General features: G+C 50.3%; 1 protein-coding gene, 1 long non-coding RNA gene and 1 pseudogene across 20 annotated transcripts in view, besides 2 other annotated features; 2 read left to right on the forward strand and 1 right to left on the reverse strand.

Moving 5' to 3' along the window:
- Positions 1-10,450, reverse strand: part of NBPF11 (NBPF member 11) — a 50,131-nt gene extending 39,681 nt beyond the window's left edge. For 11 of the 19 annotated variants that reach the window (NR_110864.3, NR_169628.1, NR_169629.1 and 8 more), the window contains exons 1-2: positions 9,919-10,450; positions 1,584-1,855 (exon numbers count right to left, since the gene is read on the reverse strand). The gene's annotated coding sequence lies outside the window, so the exon portion shown is untranslated. Of the gene's footprint in view, positions 1-1,583; positions 1,856-9,888 lie in introns of all 19 variants that reach the window. The other 8 variants (NR_046188.5, NM_001385470.3, NM_001385475.1 and 5 more) reach the window with 1 other exon arrangement.
- ABHD17AP1 (ABHD17A pseudogene 1) lies at positions 4,235-7,957 on the forward strand (annotated as a pseudogene).
- Positions 10,041-10,240: an enhancer, noted in NCBI's record as "active region_1637". NCBI's record gives its function as "activates an Ori minimal core promoter by ATAC-STARR-seq in GM12878 lymphoblastoid cells {active_cell/tissue: GM12878}" and the evidence as "EXISTENCE:reporter gene assay evidence [ECO:0000049][PMID:35858748]".
- Positions 10,261-10,370: an enhancer, noted in NCBI's record as "active region_1638". NCBI's record gives its function as "activates an Ori minimal core promoter by ATAC-STARR-seq in GM12878 lymphoblastoid cells {active_cell/tissue: GM12878}" and the evidence as "EXISTENCE:reporter gene assay evidence [ECO:0000049][PMID:35858748]".
- LOC105371227 (uncharacterized) lies at positions 13,834-16,715 on the forward strand. The gene is made up of 2 exons (XR_922068.4): positions 13,834-14,575; positions 14,959-16,715. It is a non-coding gene; the product is annotated as an uncharacterized LOC105371227 (long non-coding RNA).
- Positions 16,716-17,618: the final 903 nt, after the last annotated feature.

Here is a 17,618-nt window from a genome sequence, read left to right on the forward strand (position 1 = left end):
GATGAGCTCCCTGCCCACAAGACAGAAGCAGCTCCAGAGATTTTGATAAGCAATGTAGATTTCAGTGCAGTGTGGTCTATTTAAAATAGTAGAACAAAAAGGAAAGAAAAAGAGAGAGCATGAGAGAGAGAGAAAGAAAAAGAAGAAAGGAAAGAATGGAGGGAGGGAGGGAAGGAGGGAGGGAGGAAGGAAGGAAGGGAGGGAGGAAGGAAGGCAGGGAGGGAGGGAGGAAGGGAGGAAGAAAGGAAGGGAGGGAAGGCAGAAGGGAAGGAGGGAGGGAAAGAATAAAGAGAGAGAGAAAGAGAGTGGGAGGGAAGTAGGGAAGGGAGAGAAGTAGGGAAGAAAGGAAGGAAGGAAATGAACAAATTTACATGAAGATGAGAACATCCAGGGGAACTTACACCACCAGTATTTCCATTAACAGGAACATGCTAACTAGTTATTAGAGAGAGACGCACTACTGTAAAACTATATACTGTTTCCATGGGGTACAACCCCTTCTTCCTCCTCTGAAACACATTATTCCTCTGGCCCGCTGTTGCCAGAGACACTGAGTCTTGTCTTTGGATAAGTTCTGGTGCCCCAAAGAATGAGATGAGACAGTGGATCCCAGAACACCAGGCCGCAACCTTCCCTGCTGCTCCTTGTCCACTCCAGAAGCTGCCCGGCTGCAGGTGGGGGCCTCAGCCCCTGGGTCTGACATCGTCCATTTGTCATTCTCACTGGACTTCCCTCCTTGCACTGGCTCCCACTCCCCCAGGACCTGGTGGGCAGCCACGTGAGAAGGATACAAACAGGCCATGCCCCTTTCTTTCTCCCCCTCTCAATGCCTGCAGTGGTGGGTTCCGTGGGGTAGTGACCTGAGATTTACTCATTATGGGGCCTCTAGCCCAGAGCAGGGCATGGTACCTAATAGTCACCCCATGAATGGTCAGTGAAAGAAGGCGTCCACCACAAGGTCCTGGGGAACCAAGAATTCCACTGTGGCCCATAAATTCTAAGTCCTACAGGATTCTGGAATGGGAGATGGGATCGGCCTTCAAAAGTGGTCTCTCTTTTAACCCATTATACTGGCAACTGAGCCATGTTTCCCCATCCTGGACACATCTAGAGGGCACTGCCTAAAACCACACACATCTCCCCACCCAGGACAGTGCAGAGCCTTAGCCTGGGGGATGCGGGTGGACAGGGAGGGGGTGAGCCATGAAAGCTGAAGAGGAGAAAGCAGGTGAAAGAGGACAGCAGGGTGGAAACAGAGAGAGAAATGGGGGCAGAGAATGGGGGGTGAGAGGGGAAGAGAGAGGAGAGGGATGCAGATCTAGCTACCAAGGAAAAGTCCTGAAGAGAACATGTCCTCTCCTGAAGTAAAATCACTTTCACCCGACCATGGCACTGCAAGTCCAGGGCGGCACACGCTGTGAATATTTGTTCATTCATTTAACATATATTTATTTAATATCTGTTTGATGCCAGGCAAGGCCCTGTGATGTTTAGGGCCCTTGGCATCTTCCCTTCACATCTGAGTCATAATAGAAAGAGGACTCTCTGACCCCATCGAGCTGGCAATGCCTCAGGATTTTTACCTGTTGGATCTGGCAGCTCTTCATGTCGGCCCACACCATGTGAAGCTGCTCTTGGTGCACTGAATGGGTAAGTTTCTACATCGGTGCCTCGGAGAGTCCACCAGAAGCCCTGGACAGTGGGAGTTGGTGGCACCCCCAGTGTGGAGGCCAAGAGCACACAGCACTGAAGCTCCAGACATCCTCAGGAGAATGATAAGGGACAATCTGCTCATGAGAGCCTGGGTCACCAGGAACCTTTGCCTGGGTCTAAACAGGATTTGCCTTCAGAATGCCTATGAGATAAAAGAGAGAAATCAAGGTTAACATTGAGATTTGGGGCTTGGGCAACTTGAAGGGTGAAGCTGCCATTTACCGAGACTGGGAAGACCCAGGCAGGAGCAGATTGAAAGGTGGTGGGGAACTAGAGTTGGTTGGGTTTCTGTCATATGTAATCAACAGTCCTCACCAGCCTGTGCAACATAGTAAGACCCCATCTCTGAAAATAAAAAATGAGAAATTAGCCGAGCATGGTGGCGCACACTTGCACTCTCAGCTACTCGGGAGGCTGAGGCAGGAGGATTCCTTGAGCCTTGAGTTAGAGGTTAGTGAGCTATGATGGCACCACTGCACTCCAGCCTGGGGGGAAAAAAATAGAGTTCTGACTAAATATTTGAGTAGCCAGGGAAGTTTTCACAAAGTAAGGAATATTTGAGGTAGATCTTAGTGAACAAGAATTCGATTCTTTCTGTTAGGGAATTAAGAGTGTGTGGGCGTAGTTAATGCTTCTTTGGAATCTCATCTACTGGTCTATCTGGTCTATCTGTACCCGTATATTCTACAGGCTGTCTCACTGAGCTTTCACTAGGTTATGCTGCAGTAACAAAAGCCCCAAAATCTTAGCAGCTACACATACAAAGGTTTATTTTTCATTGGCATTTCCTTTTATGGCAGCTTGACTATGATTCTGCTCTATACAAGCTATTTTATTTGTTAGATGGTGAAAACCGTGACACTTGGAGATTGCTGAATATGGTATTAGTATGTTCATTCATTCATTCATTTAACAAATATTTATTCAATATCTGTTTCATGCCAGGCGAGGTCAAGTACTGAGAATACAGTGGTGAATAAAAGAAACAAAATCTCTAATTTCCAGGAGCTTATATTGAAAATGAGATTGAACACATACAAAAAAAAATAATAACAATAATGAATACTATATTTACAAATAATAGCTGTAAGAGATTTTAGTACCTGTTTTAAATTAGAAAAATATAAAAATTATTAAAACTAAAATGGCCAGATGTGATGGCTCACACCTGTAATCCCAACACTTTGGGATGCCAAGGTGTGACAATCAACTGAGCCCAAGTGTTTGAAACTAGTCTGGGCACCACAGGAAGACCCTGTCTACAAAAAATAAAAAATTAGCTGGGCATGGTGGTGCATGCCGTAATCCCAGCACTTTGGGAGGCTGAAGCAAGCAGACTACTTGAGCCCAAGGGTTTGAGACCAACCTGGGAAACATGTTGAATCCCCATCTCTACAGAAAATACAAAAATTAGCCAGGCATGGTGGCACACGCCTATAGTCGCAGCTACTCAGGAGGCTGAGGCAGGAGGATTGCTTGAGCCAGGAGGTGGAGGTGGCAGTGAGCTGAGATTATGCCAACACACTTCAGCCTGGGCAACAGAGTAAGACCCTGTCTGAAAAAAAAAAATGCAAAAACTAAAATAAAATTGCTATAAGGTTAATATAGAAAAGTGTGTTCATATTCTTAGGCTAGGCATTGATTTCTTTTTTCTTTCTTTTTTTTTTTTTTTTTTTTTTTGGTACAAGACAGAGTCTTGCTCTGTCAACCAGGCTGGAGTACAGTAGTGTAATCTCGGCTCACTGCAACCTCCGCCTCCTGGGTTCAAGCAATTCTCCTGCCTCAGCCTCCTGAGTAGCTGGGATTACAGGTGCCCGCCACCACATCCAGCTAATTTTTGTATTTTTAGTAGAGACGGGGTTTCACCATGTTGGCCAGGCTGGTTTCATACTCCTGACCTCGTGATCCACCTGCCTAGGCCTCCCACAGTGCTGGGATTACAGGCATGAGCCACCGCACCTGGCCAGGCATTGATTTCTTAAACAGGACACAATAAGCAGTAACCATAAAGGAAAAGATTGATAAAGTATATTTCATTAAAATTAAGATACTCTGGCCGGGTGCGGTAGCTCATGCCTATAATCCCAACACTTTGGGAGGCCGAGGCAGGTGTCACTTGAGCCCAGGAATTCCGTATCGGGCTATGCAACATGGCAAAACCCCATGTCTAGTAAAAATACAAAAAACAGCTGAGCATGGTAGTGGTCTCCTGTAGGTCCCAGCTACTTGGGGACTGAGGCAGGAGCATCACCTGAGCCTTGGGAGGTCGAGGTTGCACTAAGCTGTGATTGTACCACTGCACTCCAGCCTGGGCAACAGAGTGAGATCTTGTCTCAAAAAGAAAAAAAATTAGAGAATCTCCATTCATGAAAAAACGTCATTAAAAGAGTGAAAACACAAGCTGCAGATTGAAAAAAGAGAAATGCAATCCATATATATCCTAGAAAGGATGCATATCCAGAATAAAGTATTACAAATCAACAGAAAAGCATATCAATGAAAACTGGATAAAAAGATTTAGGGGCAGGGGTGCGGAGGGACCGACGGACGCACGGGCGGGCGGCCGGGAGCCATGGAGCGCGGCCCTGGGGCCCGGGGGCGCGGGCCGGGGTGGGCTTCCCACGGCACGACATGGAGACCTGTGGTTGCGAGGCTCCCTGGGGCTCGGCTTGGACCGCGATGGGGCTGGGCCCTGGCCTCCTAACGGGGCTGCTGTCTGGGGCGGTAGCTGGGGGGGCGCTCTCCCCCCTGCCCGCGACTCGGAGCACCCCACCCCTCCCCTGCCGGGCCAGGCCGGGCGGCGTTGTTGGCGGGGGCCCCGGTGGAGGCCCGGCCCGGGCGGCGCCCGCCATGAACGGGCTGTCGCTGAGTGAGCTCTGCTGCCTCTTCTGCTGCCCTCCCTGCCCCGGCCGCATCGCTGCCAAGCTCGCCTTCCTGCCGCCGGAGGCCACCTACTCCCTGGTGCCTGAGCCCGAGCTGGGGCCTGGTGGGGCCGGGGCCGCCCCCTTGGGGACCCTGAGAGCCTCCTCGGGCGCACCCGGGCGCTGGAAGCTGCACCTGACGGAGCGTGCCGACTTCCAGTACAGCCAGCGCGAGCTGGACACCATCGAGGTCTTCCCCACCAAGAGCGCCCGCGGCAACCGTGTCTCCTGCATGTATGTTCGCTGCGTGCCTGGTGCCAGGTACACGGTCCTCTTCTCGCACGGCAATGCCGTGGACCTGGGCCAGATGAGCAGCTTCTACATTGGCCTGGGCTCCCGCCTCCACTGCAACATCTTCACCTACGACTCCTCCGGCTACGGTGCCAGCTCGGGCAGGCCTTCCGAGAGGAACCTCTATGCCGACATCGACGCCACCTGGCAGGCCCTGCGCACCAGGTGAGGGCGACCCTGGGGGCAGCTCAGCCTGGGCACACCCAAGAGGGGACCAGGCGGGGGGCCGGGGGGCGGGCTTCCCTGGGAGGAAGGTGGGCGGCCCTGCAGGAGGGGAGCCACAGTGGATGCACAGGGCCAGAGAGCCGGACAGGCGAGCTTGGGTGTGCAGGTGCCGCCTCCACATGGCTGAGGTGTGGCCAGGCGGTCCTCCCACACCCTGGCCTGTGGAGCCAGGCTCCCTGGGAACCCCTGGCCTGAGGATGGGAAGGGGCTGAGCTTGTCACAGGGGTGTGGATGCCACCTGGCGGGAGGGAGTGGGTGGTGGTCTGGGGGTCTGTGCACGTGTGGCTGGGAGCCCATCGGCTGAGGCAGCACTTGGGGCCAAGTGAGGCGAGGCTGCTGCATCCAGGTCCGGAGGACTGGCCCATGAGGCCCTGTGGCTGCGGAGCTTGGCCATCCTGGGGCAGGGCCTACAGGGTAAGGTGCAGACCCGCAGCACACATCCGAGGTCTGGGCCAGCCTCGATTCCAGATCCAGCCCTCCTAGTCATCCACGTCCCCAGCCCTGTGCTTGCCTGGGCCCTTCACCGGTGTTTGAGCAGCGCCCGGGCCAGTGCTGCTTTGGACGAGGAGACCCGGCTGGGCCTCTGGTGGCTTTTCCTGCTCGCCATCCACTGGGCCTGTCTCGTCCTGGCCCTGCCCAGCCCACTGGTCTGACCTGCTCCCGCAGGGACCAGGCACAGCTCTGAGAAGTCAGAGGCCCTAGGGAGGTGGGGTCGTCGTTGCCTTGGTGATATGCAGGCAGTCCCTGCTGTGGGCCTGGGAGCTGGTCCCCTGGCACCACCCTGGCTCCAGGGGCCTCCCGGCAGTTGTGGGACGCTGACACCAATCACCACTTCATGCGGCTTCCTCGGCCCCTCCTGTCTCTACTGCCTGGGCCACTGGCAGAGTCACACCTGCCATGGCCAGCTCTGAGCTCTGTCTGCTCGGCCATCTGTCCTGCTGCCCCTTTGTCCTGCAGGAACCTAGGCCCAGAGCCATGAGGGGGAGGCCAGAGCGTGCCCAGGGCCTCCACTGGGGATGTGTCCCGTTCGTTTGAGTGGTGACATCCAGGTGGCAGCTGGGGGCTCCTGCCTGTAGCAGGTGGCAGGGCTGGGCTGGCTCAGCACACTACTGACCATGGCTGCCAGGGAGCAGGCCGGGGAGGCCGAGGCAGAGCTGGGGCCACAGGCACCAGCCAGGCAGCATCCTTTGGGGCATGGGTGAGTGGCGAGCTGTGGAGTGCTGCCAGGAGGCTGGGATTCCAGGCCAGGGACGGGGACAGCCCTGCTGGTGGAGTCCGAATGCCAGGCAGAGGGGACGCACACCTGCCCATGCTCCTGCCTTGCAAGAGGGCGTCTGCCTGGGATCAGAGCCTAGAGCGTGTGGGAGGAGAGTTGTGGGGTCCCGGCATGGGCAGGGTGGCAGGTGGGTCCCGCGTGCTTGGGACTGGGCACGAGGAGGCCTTGTAACTGGTGCTGGATCAGCTGGGTCAGGGGCCGCACACCAATGACCTGGGGGTGAGGGTGCCCCTGGGTGGGAGCTGGTGGTGCTGAGGTGGCCGAGGACTTGTCCACTCCCAAGGGAAGGTGCTGGTGGGAGGGGGTGCCACCTCCGCAGCCACCACCCTCGATGCTGACCTGGGTTGCACTGGCATCTCACTGGGCGTGGGGACTCCGAGAGTCCAAAATTGGGTGGAGACATTTGGGGACACAGCTGCCTGAATTCCTCATGGCCAAGGGGGTGGGCAAGGGCTGCAGGGAGGAAGAGTGTCCGCTGTCCTGGCCAGTGCACCAGGAACGGCTTTCTAACCCGGGCAGGAAGGTATGAAGCATTCAGGATGTGGGGGCCACACAGTTCCCAGTGTGCACCTAGGGGTGACCAGGAGGAGGAGAGGCGCCAGGGCCTCCCTTACCCCCGCCCCAGGGGCACTCCGTAGGCAGGATCCCTGCAGATCCTAGCTAGGAAACGCCAGTGAACGGCAGCGCAGGGAACGGGGCGGGGCCGCTGGCTTCGCCCACCGCCACGGTGTTGGGGGCTGGGGGTGGCCCTCGGGACTGGTGTGGAGCCTGAGCCTGACCCACTGACTTGGCTGAGTGGGGAGACTGGAGGGTCGCATCCGGAGCTGGGCCCGGGGACGCCCGCTGGTGGGAAGGGTGCGCGCGCGTTGGAGGCCGCGGCTGACCCTGCTCCGGCGCCGCCAGGTACGGCATCAGCCCGGACAGCATCATCCTGTACGGGCAGAGCATCGGCACGGTGCCCACCATGGACCTGGCCTCGCGCTACGAGTGTGCCGCGGTGGTGCTGCACTCGCCGCTCACCTCGGGCATGCGCGTCGCCTTCCGCGACACCAAGAAGACCTACTGCTTCGACGCCTTCCCTAACATCGAGAAGGTGTCCAAGATCACGTCTCCCGTGCTCATCATCCACGGCAGGGAGGACGAGGTGATCGACTTCTCGCACGGGCTGGCGCTCTACGAGCGCTGCCCCAAGGCGGTGGAGCCGCTGTGGGTGGAGGGCGCCGGGCACAACGACATCGAGCTCTACAGCCAGTACCTGGAGCGCCTGCGTCGCTTCATCTCCCAGGAGCTGCCCAGCCAGCGCGCCTAGCGGCGGCCCCAACCAGCCGGACCTCAGCAATAAGGCGGCCCCCGGACCTCACCCCGCGCCGGCCCCCACCCAGGGGCTGCATGTGGACCCCCCCGGGCGGCCCAGGGGACCCCGCCCCGACCCAGGGGCTGTGGACGATGTACAGGCAACAGAGCTACGCACTCCTTTCCTTTTGGAAGCAAGAAGAAAATACGTGAAAACGGAAATTAAAGATTTAAAATTAAAAAAAAAAAAAAGATTTAACAGGCACTTCATAAAAGAGGACATATAAATGGCAATAAAAGATACTCAATCTCAATACCAGGAAAATGGAAGTTGAAACCGCATTGATATATTACTGCACCTCTACGAGAATAACAAAATAATTTTTAACTGACAAGCATCAGCAAGGATGTGGGGTAACTGGAATATTCCCTGCTAACTGATAAAACACTTTGGGAAAATGTTCAGCCATATGTAATACTAAAGTTTTATCATTCATATAGCTCTAAAACCAACAATGCCACTTCTACATATATACCCCAATATAGTAATGTTCTATTTCTTAATCTGTGGTGGTTCATTTAGTAAAAACACATGACCTGTACTTTTTTTTTTTTTTTTGAGGCAGGGTTGCACTCTGCCATCCAGGCCAGAGTGCACTGGCACGATCACTGCTCACTGCAATCTCAACCTCCCAGGCTCTGTTGACCACACACAGCTAATTTTTGTATTTTTAGTAGAGATGGCATTTTGCCACGTTGCCCAGGCTGGTCTGGAACTCCTGGGCTCAAGTGATCCGCCCACCTTGGCCTCCCGAAATGCTGGAATTACAGGTGTGATCTACCACGCCCAGATCACCTGCACGTTTAAAATTGTGAACTTCTTCTGTATACTTCAGTAACTTTTCGAAGATTTCTTTGACACAAAGTTCTCAGAAATCTTAAAGCTAGCATTTTAGAATAGAAAAAAAAAAGAGCTTTTGGTTCACTGGTGAAATTTTACTAATTAAATTTAAAAACAAAAAGAAAGCTATTAATGCATAACAGCTCAGAACAAAGATTAAAAACCACCAGCACATCAGTTTTCCTTAACTTCGTGAAGCACTGGTATTCATTCTTTCGGCAAAGAAAGGATGAACAACACTGTAACTCAAAGAAAAGATACCACTGCAAGAAAAGGCTTTTTTTTTTTTTTTTAGAGGGAGTCTCGCTCTGTCACCCAGGCTGGAGTGCAGTGACAAGATATCTCCGCTCACTGCAACCTCCGCCTCCCAGGTTCAAGCGAGTCTCCTGCCTCAGCCTCCCGAGTAGCTGGGACTACAGGCACCTGCCACCATGCCCGGCTAATTTTTTGTATTTTCAGTAGAGACGGGGTTTCACTGTGTTAGCCAGGATGGTCTCAATCTCCTGACCTCATGATCCGCCCGCGTCGGCCTCTTAAAGTGCTTCTTTTCGAAAGCAGCTCCACCAGCAAAAGGTAGGAGGAAAGCGAGGAAACCATTCCTCGCTTGGTTAACTCTTGGGTGAAAGGACGCCAAATGAGATGATCTAAGAAGCCTCAAAGAAAGACAGACAGGCACAGAAAAATCACAGCAACTCTTTGGACTGCAAACACCAACACCACAGTCCAACCTACCAGAAATCCTGTGGTTAATTGGAGGCTTGCCCCGCTAGTCATGAGATGATTCAGTGATCGCTACAAACGCTCCTCACATGCATCCTGGACCTGGCACACCTGGCTTGCCCATCACCAGCCTGGAGACACCGCCAGGAGCAGAATCCCGGAGGCCAATAAAGACCCCAACTTTGCAAGTCAGGGGCGCGAGCGCTCTTGCCCCTCAAGTTCCCAGAAAGAACGGCCTCGAGGGTGGGGTGCGAAGTCAGTGTGCTCCACAGGACTTCCGAAGACGTGCCCCCGAAGCTGCTCCGTCCCTCCACCCCCTGGGATGCCACAGAACACCTGCCAGGGAGTTTCTTCCCCAGCGCCCACGAGAGGAGGGCTGCGGGCTGCAGCGGCAGGCGAGGAATCAAGCGCAGGGAACTTAGGCCCCGGCGGAGCCCTGCGGAGCCCGGCAGTGCCCGGCGCAACCGCCCCGCTCGCCTAACAAAACTTGCGGCGGCCCAGCCCGCCGCGCCTCAGCCCAGCTGTGAGCCCGCAGGTCCCAGACTCACCTCCCGCCCGGCCTGGCGCGGCGCCCTCACCTCCGGAACGCTGGGTGGACTTCGCAGTAAACTTGAACTTCCCATCCAGGCTGCAGCCGTGCCGCCGTACCTCGGCCCCGCTCCTGGCGCCGCAGGTCGCCCGTCCCGCGTTCCCAAAATCACCAGGCTCACTCAGAAGCTCAGGCAGCCTCGCGACCCTCACCTACCCCTCCCAGCACCGCCGCTATCTCCACCGCCGCCCAGCAACTTGCTTGCGGCCCGCTGGCTCCTCAGGGTCCGGATGGGCCGTGTCAGGAGAGCCCAAGGCACAGGCGCAGCTGGGCCTTAAAGGGACCCGGCTGCCTCTACCGCACAGCGGGTTCGGGCCGCGGGCCGAGAAAAGGAGTAATGGAGGACAGAGCGCAGCGGGGACGGGAAAATCCCTCTCTCCCCTCCGCCTCTCTTTCAAAGCACCAGCCCTTGACCCTGCAATTCGCTGATTTCCCCGGCCACTTGAACCGCCCCTGCCAGGTTAAAGAGGCGGGAGACACACCCCCTCGGAAGCCCGGAGCTACCCCGCGTTTAGGACTGCAGGCTTCGCGCTGCCGCACCGCCCCATAGTCTGACTTCCGGGCTCGGCCCGCGGCGCAGACGCACAGGAGTCGGAAGGCAGCCCCCAGCTCCCGCGAGAGGTGGCCTTAGGTCACTCGCAAAAACAATAACCAACGTGTCAATGGCACTTGTATTTATTTTCTAATTTAAATTTATAACAGATTTCGCAGATGGGCTTCCACTGAAATAAGCCTTTGAGAAAAAGAAAAACTTTTTTTTTAACAAGATTAGGAAATACCAAGAAATATGAAGTAAAGCCATGCCATCTACCCAGCTAAAAACTTTGAAAACTTGAAATTTTATCTAAGGCAAATGTTTGCATAATTTTAAGTCGTGCCATTATTTAAAGTCAATTTCAATTAACAATTGCATTGCAACTAAATACATCTTCTATAAGAAAACTAAGATACATCCCTGATAATCTACCTTTCCCCTCCTATATTCCGTCCATCAGCAAATCCTACTGGTTTTTACCTTCCAAATTTTCCTTGAATCTGTCCTCTTCTACCTCCTCCATCACCACCCTAGTCTAGGCTACCTTCACCTGGGGAGTGGGGGTGGAGGGACTACTGACCTAGTCTCCTTGTGGTTTACCCATATCCCCTTTATCGCCTCTCTAATCTCAACACAACAGGCAGAGTGGCTTTTTCAAAATGTAATGTGACCCTGTCACTTCCCAGCCCAAACCACTTAAACACCTTCCCGTTCTCTTAGACAAAACCTCCTAACTAACCAAGCCCTGAATGGCCAGGCGCTTTGCCCACCTCTCCATGTCTTCTTACAGGTCAGACCAATTCCATCCTGCTCTCTCTGCTTCAGCCAAACTGGCCTCTTTTATTCCCTATTTACTCAGCTTCCTGGACTCCACAGAGCTTTTGCTCATGCTTTGCTCTGTGCCTGAAGATTCTTCCAACCCTCATCCTTCTGACGACAGCTGTAGTCTCCACCTCTGAGAGGCAACTTCTGACCTCCCTACGGTGGTCCCTTACTCCCATCACATTGCATAAAACTGTAATCAAGTGGTTATGTTGGGGAATCTACCATCAGCTCCGTAAGTCCAGGATTTGGTTTTGTTTGGCTCATGGTTGTATTTCCACATTTGTGAAATACATATTTGTTCCTAAATGAGAACGATAGATGCTAGAAGTTGAAGTAAATTTGGCATAAAGTCAGAGAAAGGTAAAATGTCACAATCTGATATTTGGAGGCAGAATCTAAAAACTTCAGTTATATTAAAACTGATTTTATATCGTTTTAGGCTGGATTGTTGCAGGGACTCTTTGGGTAATCTTTAAAACTGAGTTCTCAGAGAGCCTTGTATAAACACCTGAATTAATAATGATAGCCCTGGGATGGTCCACATAAAACGAATAACATTGGTTGCTTCAAGAGAGGAAGAGCGAGCCAGGCACAGTGGCTCATGCCTGTAATCCAAGCACTTTGGGAGGCCAAGGCTGACAGATCATTTGAGCTCAGGAGTTTGAGACTAGCCTGGGCAACTTGGTGAGACCCTGTCTCTACACAAAATACAAGCAAAATTAGCTGGTAGTCCCAAACACCTGTAGTCCCAGCTGTGTGGGAGGCTGAGGTGGGAGGATTGCTTGAGCCCAGAAGGTTGAGAGGCTGCAGTGAGCCATGATCATGCCACTGCACTTCAGCCTGGATGACAGAGCAAGATCCTGTCAAAAAAAAAAAAAAAAGAGAGAGAGAGAAAGAAAGACTCTTGACTGGTGGCTACTGGTGGGAAAGAGGTTTTTACTACATCCCCAATTGGACCTTTTTATTTTAAAGTATGTGAAGATAAATAAATGACACAAAAGAGTGCATACCATCCCATTTATTTGAAATTCCAGAAAAGGCAAAATTAATCTGTGGTGAAAAAATCATAACAGCAGTTCCTTCTAACAGGATATTGACTGGGAAGGCACACAAGAGAAATTTCTGGGTGCTAAAAATGGTCTGTCTTGATAGGGGTAGGAATTACAAAAAATTCAGTTAACATTTCAATGAATGTAAATTTTATCTTAAAAACTATAAAAATAATTTAAAATTTAAAATCTAGTAGCTAACACCTAGTTGAGCGCTCAGTGTCTATGGGTATTGGCCAAAGCTATACATACACAATTTTGTTTAGTCCTCATACTGTCTTCACGAGGTAGGTATTATTATCATAACCCCCTTGCATATGAAGAAGCCCAAATTTAGTAAATACTAAATAACTTTCCTTAATTTATACCCCCTGGAAAATGGGGGAAGAGCTTTGACTACCGTCAGTCAAATGCCATAAGTTATTAAATATTAGACCCTATAGCACTTCTCTGAAATTGTAATATTTTTGGTATATATATATATAACTCATCTACTAGATCAAGAGCTTCACAATGATTGAAATCATAGTTTGCTTTTTGTTTGAGGTTTATGGGTTTATTTTATGTTATTATTTTAAAGACTGGGTCTTGGCTGGGCACGGTGGCTCACGCCTGTAATCCCAGCACTTTGGGAGGCCAAGGTGGGTGGATCACTTGAGGTTAGGAGTTCGAGACCAGCCTGGCCAACATGGTGAAACACCATCTCTACTAAAAATGCAAAATTAGCTGAGTGTGGTGGCGCATGCCTGTAATCCCAGTTACTTGGGAGGCTGAGGCAGGAGAATCACTTGAACCCGGGAGGTGGAGGTTGCAGTGAGGCAAGCTTGTGCCACTGAACTCCAGCCTGGGCCACAGAGTAAGACTCCATTTCAGAAAAAAAAAAAAAAAAAAAAAAAAAGACTGAGTCTCACTATGTTGCCCAGGCTGCACTTGGACTGTTGAATTCAAGCCATCCTCCTGCCTAGGCGTCTTGAGTAGCTGGGACTACAGGCACACACTATCACGCCCAATATTTTTGTCTTAAGTTTCTAAGGAGTCCCAACACTGCACAGTAGCTGTTCAATACATTTTGAGTGAATGATTAAAAACAAGCTTGGTGTTGATTTTATTGGTACAATTTATATTTACATATGTAATGTTTATATTATATGCTTTTTATATATTTATATGTGTGTATGTATATAATTGGCACCAACGTAGCATTGCTGTGCTTAAGTGCCTGAGATGTATCTCAAATGAATAGACCTGAGGAGAGAAGCTTGTGTCATTAGCTCTGACCCTGCAGCACTAATCCTGGTTTACCCCTTTATTTCACTCACCCTGAGCACATCAATTAATTTGGTGAAAGAGCTTACACTTTAAGTGTAAGCTTAACATCTCACTGAAATAGTTCATTCCAAAGAAAGAGCTAATTCTAACCTCTCACAAGTGCTTGAGCATTTGCATAAGTGAAATTTCACTGTGTGAGTTTCACCCAACACCACCTCTGCTCCAGCTCCTGCTACTCTGCTGCTCATACTGTGGAACTCCACAGGTGGAGTAGAAGATCATCAGAGAGAGTTTTATTTGCAGTAAATTTGGTGTGCAACAGGCCAAGCAACGAGGAGTCAAGGTGAGGCAGAAGAACAGCAGAGGGAAGTGGAAGTTGGATAAAGGGTGAACTGAGTAGGAGCGGAAGCAGGATAAAGAGGTGGGTGAGCAAGAAGCAAGATAAGCAGAAGTTGAGCAGCGAAAACAAAAGTGAGATGGAGTAGTGAGTAAAAGTTTATGGCTGGCAGGATCCAGAACAAACCAGTAAAAGGCATGCATATGACAGAGAAAAAGTAGCCTTAAAATGACCCCGTATGATAATCAGCTCATTAAAGCTAATGCATATGGACTGCATATCATGGGTGTACTTAAAATTATGGGATGGAGGTGATGCGGAAGCACACAGGGGCCAAGTAACTAAGCAACCCACCTATCAATCAGAAGGCACATGCTGGGTAGAGATTAGGCAGCCCCAGGAAGAGGAGAAAAAAGAAAAAAAAAAAAACATGTAAAAAGACCCAAAGCCCAAAGTTCACCAAACTGACGCTGATCTCATTTTGCAGAAGTCAGCCCGTTCTCCCCTCTCTGAGAGTGTTACTGTGCTTAATAAGTCTCTTGCTGCTTTGCTACATGTGTGTGTGTCACTTCCAATTCTTTGTTAAAGACACCAAGAACCTGGGACTTCACAACACCAGCCGGTAACAAAGGTATGTAAGCTTGGGAGGGAGGAAAGAAAGAAGGGAGCAAGAGGAGATTCAGACATGAGATGCATTCACCCTATGAGTTGAACCCTGGTCTCCAGCGTGGGAGTTGACAATTCTATTACTGAACCATCAATGCTCCGTTTGGTATAACCTCTCATAGTTTTTTTTTTTTTTTTCCTTAAAGATAATCTCTAGTGCTATGGGCAGGCATGAGGGGGCAGGGAGGATGGAGGTGGGAAAGTTCTATAATAGGCTGACACAGATATTTTTGGAAAACAGAGCTAACAAAGCAACAGGCACTTGAAGCAAAGGCTTGCCGTAAACCTTCCACAGTTTGCCAAGAGAAGAAATTCTGTAGTGAAATTTTCACTTTCTCTCTTGTGTAGATCTCTGTAAGACACAAAAGTTGGATGACAGTCGTTTTGATTCTTGGACTTTACTAGAGACTCCAAAGACGCATCTGAGGAGAAAAGCTCTGGGTCCCTGGGATGACTGTGCCACTCGACATAGCCTCCTGGAGTGGCCAAAGAGAGTGTGGATAAGAAAAGAAATATTGGAGTGAACTTTCACTCACTCCCACTTCTGTAGGTTTCTTAAAATATATGGGTTTAGAAGCAAGATACTTGGCGTTTTCAAATGACTCAAAAGAGATGTAGATGAAGAGAAGTTCGGTCATCCCACAGATCTTCCGGAGTAACCTGGACACATCCCTAAATCTCTAGCTCCTGGGTCTTCGAAAGCCTGTTTGCCTCAGGGTTGGGAGGAAAGGGTTTGGAAAGTACCAAGGCAAGGGTTGGCAAAAAGATTACCTCATCAGTGAGGAAATGAAATTTCCAGAAGTTTTCGCCAGATCTGGGACCAGAGACAAATGCTGGATGAATTTCCTATGCAAACCTCTTTTAGAACCACCGCTTCAAAGGCCGTCCAGAGACTTCAAATTAGATCTGGTGAAACTGCTCCCGGTAGGGGATTGGTAGTTCAGCGGTAGAGGTTTTTGTCTCCCACGCCGGCGACTCCGGTACGACTCCCGGCCATGCAGGACTTCTTACCCTTCCGGCAGGAAGGGCTACTACGTTTCTACCCAACGAAGTTATTATATTATACAGGCTGTACTGCATTTATGGACCTTGGTCGTGGCAGCTAGAAGCTAACCTGAGGGGCGTGCCACCTCTGGAGCATTCTCTGTGCTCGAACTAATAATCCCGGAATTTACGTTCCTGTGCTCGAAGCCTGTCCTTGAAAGTGGGGAGTGTTTCCGGTGGGTTGCTGCAGTTTTAAATACTGGGAATTAAAACCTTTGCTACTTTCATCTAGTCTCCCGGCAAACCCCTGGGTAACCCAAAGCCCATCAGAGGGATTCGCGTGCTGGGCTTTCCGCTACGTTAGGCCACGTCTCACTATGGAGCGAGGATCAAGAAGGTCCGGGAAGGAGAGAAGCTGCGGGGTCCAGGGAGACTCTTCGGCGGTTGGTCGGAGAGGTTTCAGCGGCCCAAGGAAAAGGGAAGCGTGTGGGAATCTATCCGCGTAGAGATGAGGGGCGCGGCGGAGACAGTCCCACGCAGAGGTATGCCCAAACACCGAGTTACTTAACCTCCTCAACCACCTTGGCATCCGCGCCTTCCGTGGGCCCGTCGGTCTTCCGGGAGAGATTCTGTGTCCCTGGTATTGTGTGTCAACAGGTGTTAGCCTGATAGTTATATTTTTAATGAGAGAAAACGAACTACAGAATTTGCGAGTTTTGCTTTTTTTCTGGTTTTGCTTTATACCTCTTGGATTCTCCTTCCAAAGGATTCCAATCTGAGGGGCATTGAGGTGTGACTATGGTAGACAAGGGGTGGTGAATTTTCATCCAAAAATCTTTGGCGGATTCCCTTGCTCTCCCGCTCCCCAGTCTAAGAGCAGTTTAAAACAGAAGATCAGAAACATTTGGAGAGTGTTTTTTTCTCTGCGTTCTAATGATAAACTTGATTTATTCAATTCCAAAAGTTTCCTTATTCTGAGGTTGTCTTTCCATATTTTGAGTATAAAACCATGGCCATACTATATGTTGGACCCACGAAGGTTCTTCTCTTCACTTGTTTATTTGTAAAGTCTCTTTGTAATCTGAGAATTTCTTGAGTAAACTGGGAACTGTTACACATAATTCTGTGTTTTTGAGCATTCTTTGTAAACAGGAATCAGGATTGGGGGTGGGGAGGGAGGGAGGAGTGGGAGTCCTGATTTGTGTAACGGAAAATCATGGATTACTTATGTGATGGAGCAAAGGTTTAAAAACTCTTAGCGTCCCCGGATTTCCCCTTTTACTGTTTGCTGAAGAAAATTCTGTCCTTGACTCCCTTCCTTACCCTCTCCTGGCCTGTGAGAAGCTTCCGCCCTATTCAAGTTATTTCCTCCTCCCCTCCCCGCCCCACTCCCCCAGGCAGCCCCCTTCTGTTTTTCAGTGAAGCCGCTGGAGGAAAGTCGGGTTTGTGAGAAGACCCACACAGGCAAGGACAGCAGGAGAACAGTGACATAGTTACACTCTTGTCACCAGCACTGTCATTAAGAAGTTGTAAAAAGACAAAGACAACAGAGGAGAGCGGAGAATAAAATCTCCGTTTCAGCTATTCCAGGATGTTGTGCCAATTGTCCCGTGTCCTTGATAGGAAGTAGTAAGGAGCTAGGGACATTTTTCCTGAAGGCTTCCATTGCTGGCAAAATCTCATTAAAGGTGTCTACATTGATAGGTTGGCCACAGGATGGATACAAGAACAGGCTCTGGCTTACCTCTGCCAAGATATATGTGTAAGAATACTCTCTGCAACATTAATTTTTATTGTAAAATAGCAGAATAATTTTATTATTCAATCATTATATAATGTTCAAATGTATGTGACTTTATTTGGACAATGAAAAATGCAGTTGTTAAAAATAGACAATACAGATGATTCAGATGATGTTACTGATGAAAATAACAGATGTCAATTACTGAGCATTTATGGCACTCTTACATACATTAACTTATTTAAAGTTCAGAACAACCAAGGAAATGAGCAACCTGTGGCGG

This window comes from Homo sapiens, chromosome 1, assembly GCF_000001405.40.
Source record: "Homo sapiens chromosome 1, GRCh38.p14 Primary Assembly".
Taxonomy (NCBI): Eukaryota; Metazoa; Chordata; class Mammalia; order Primates; family Hominidae; genus Homo; species Homo sapiens.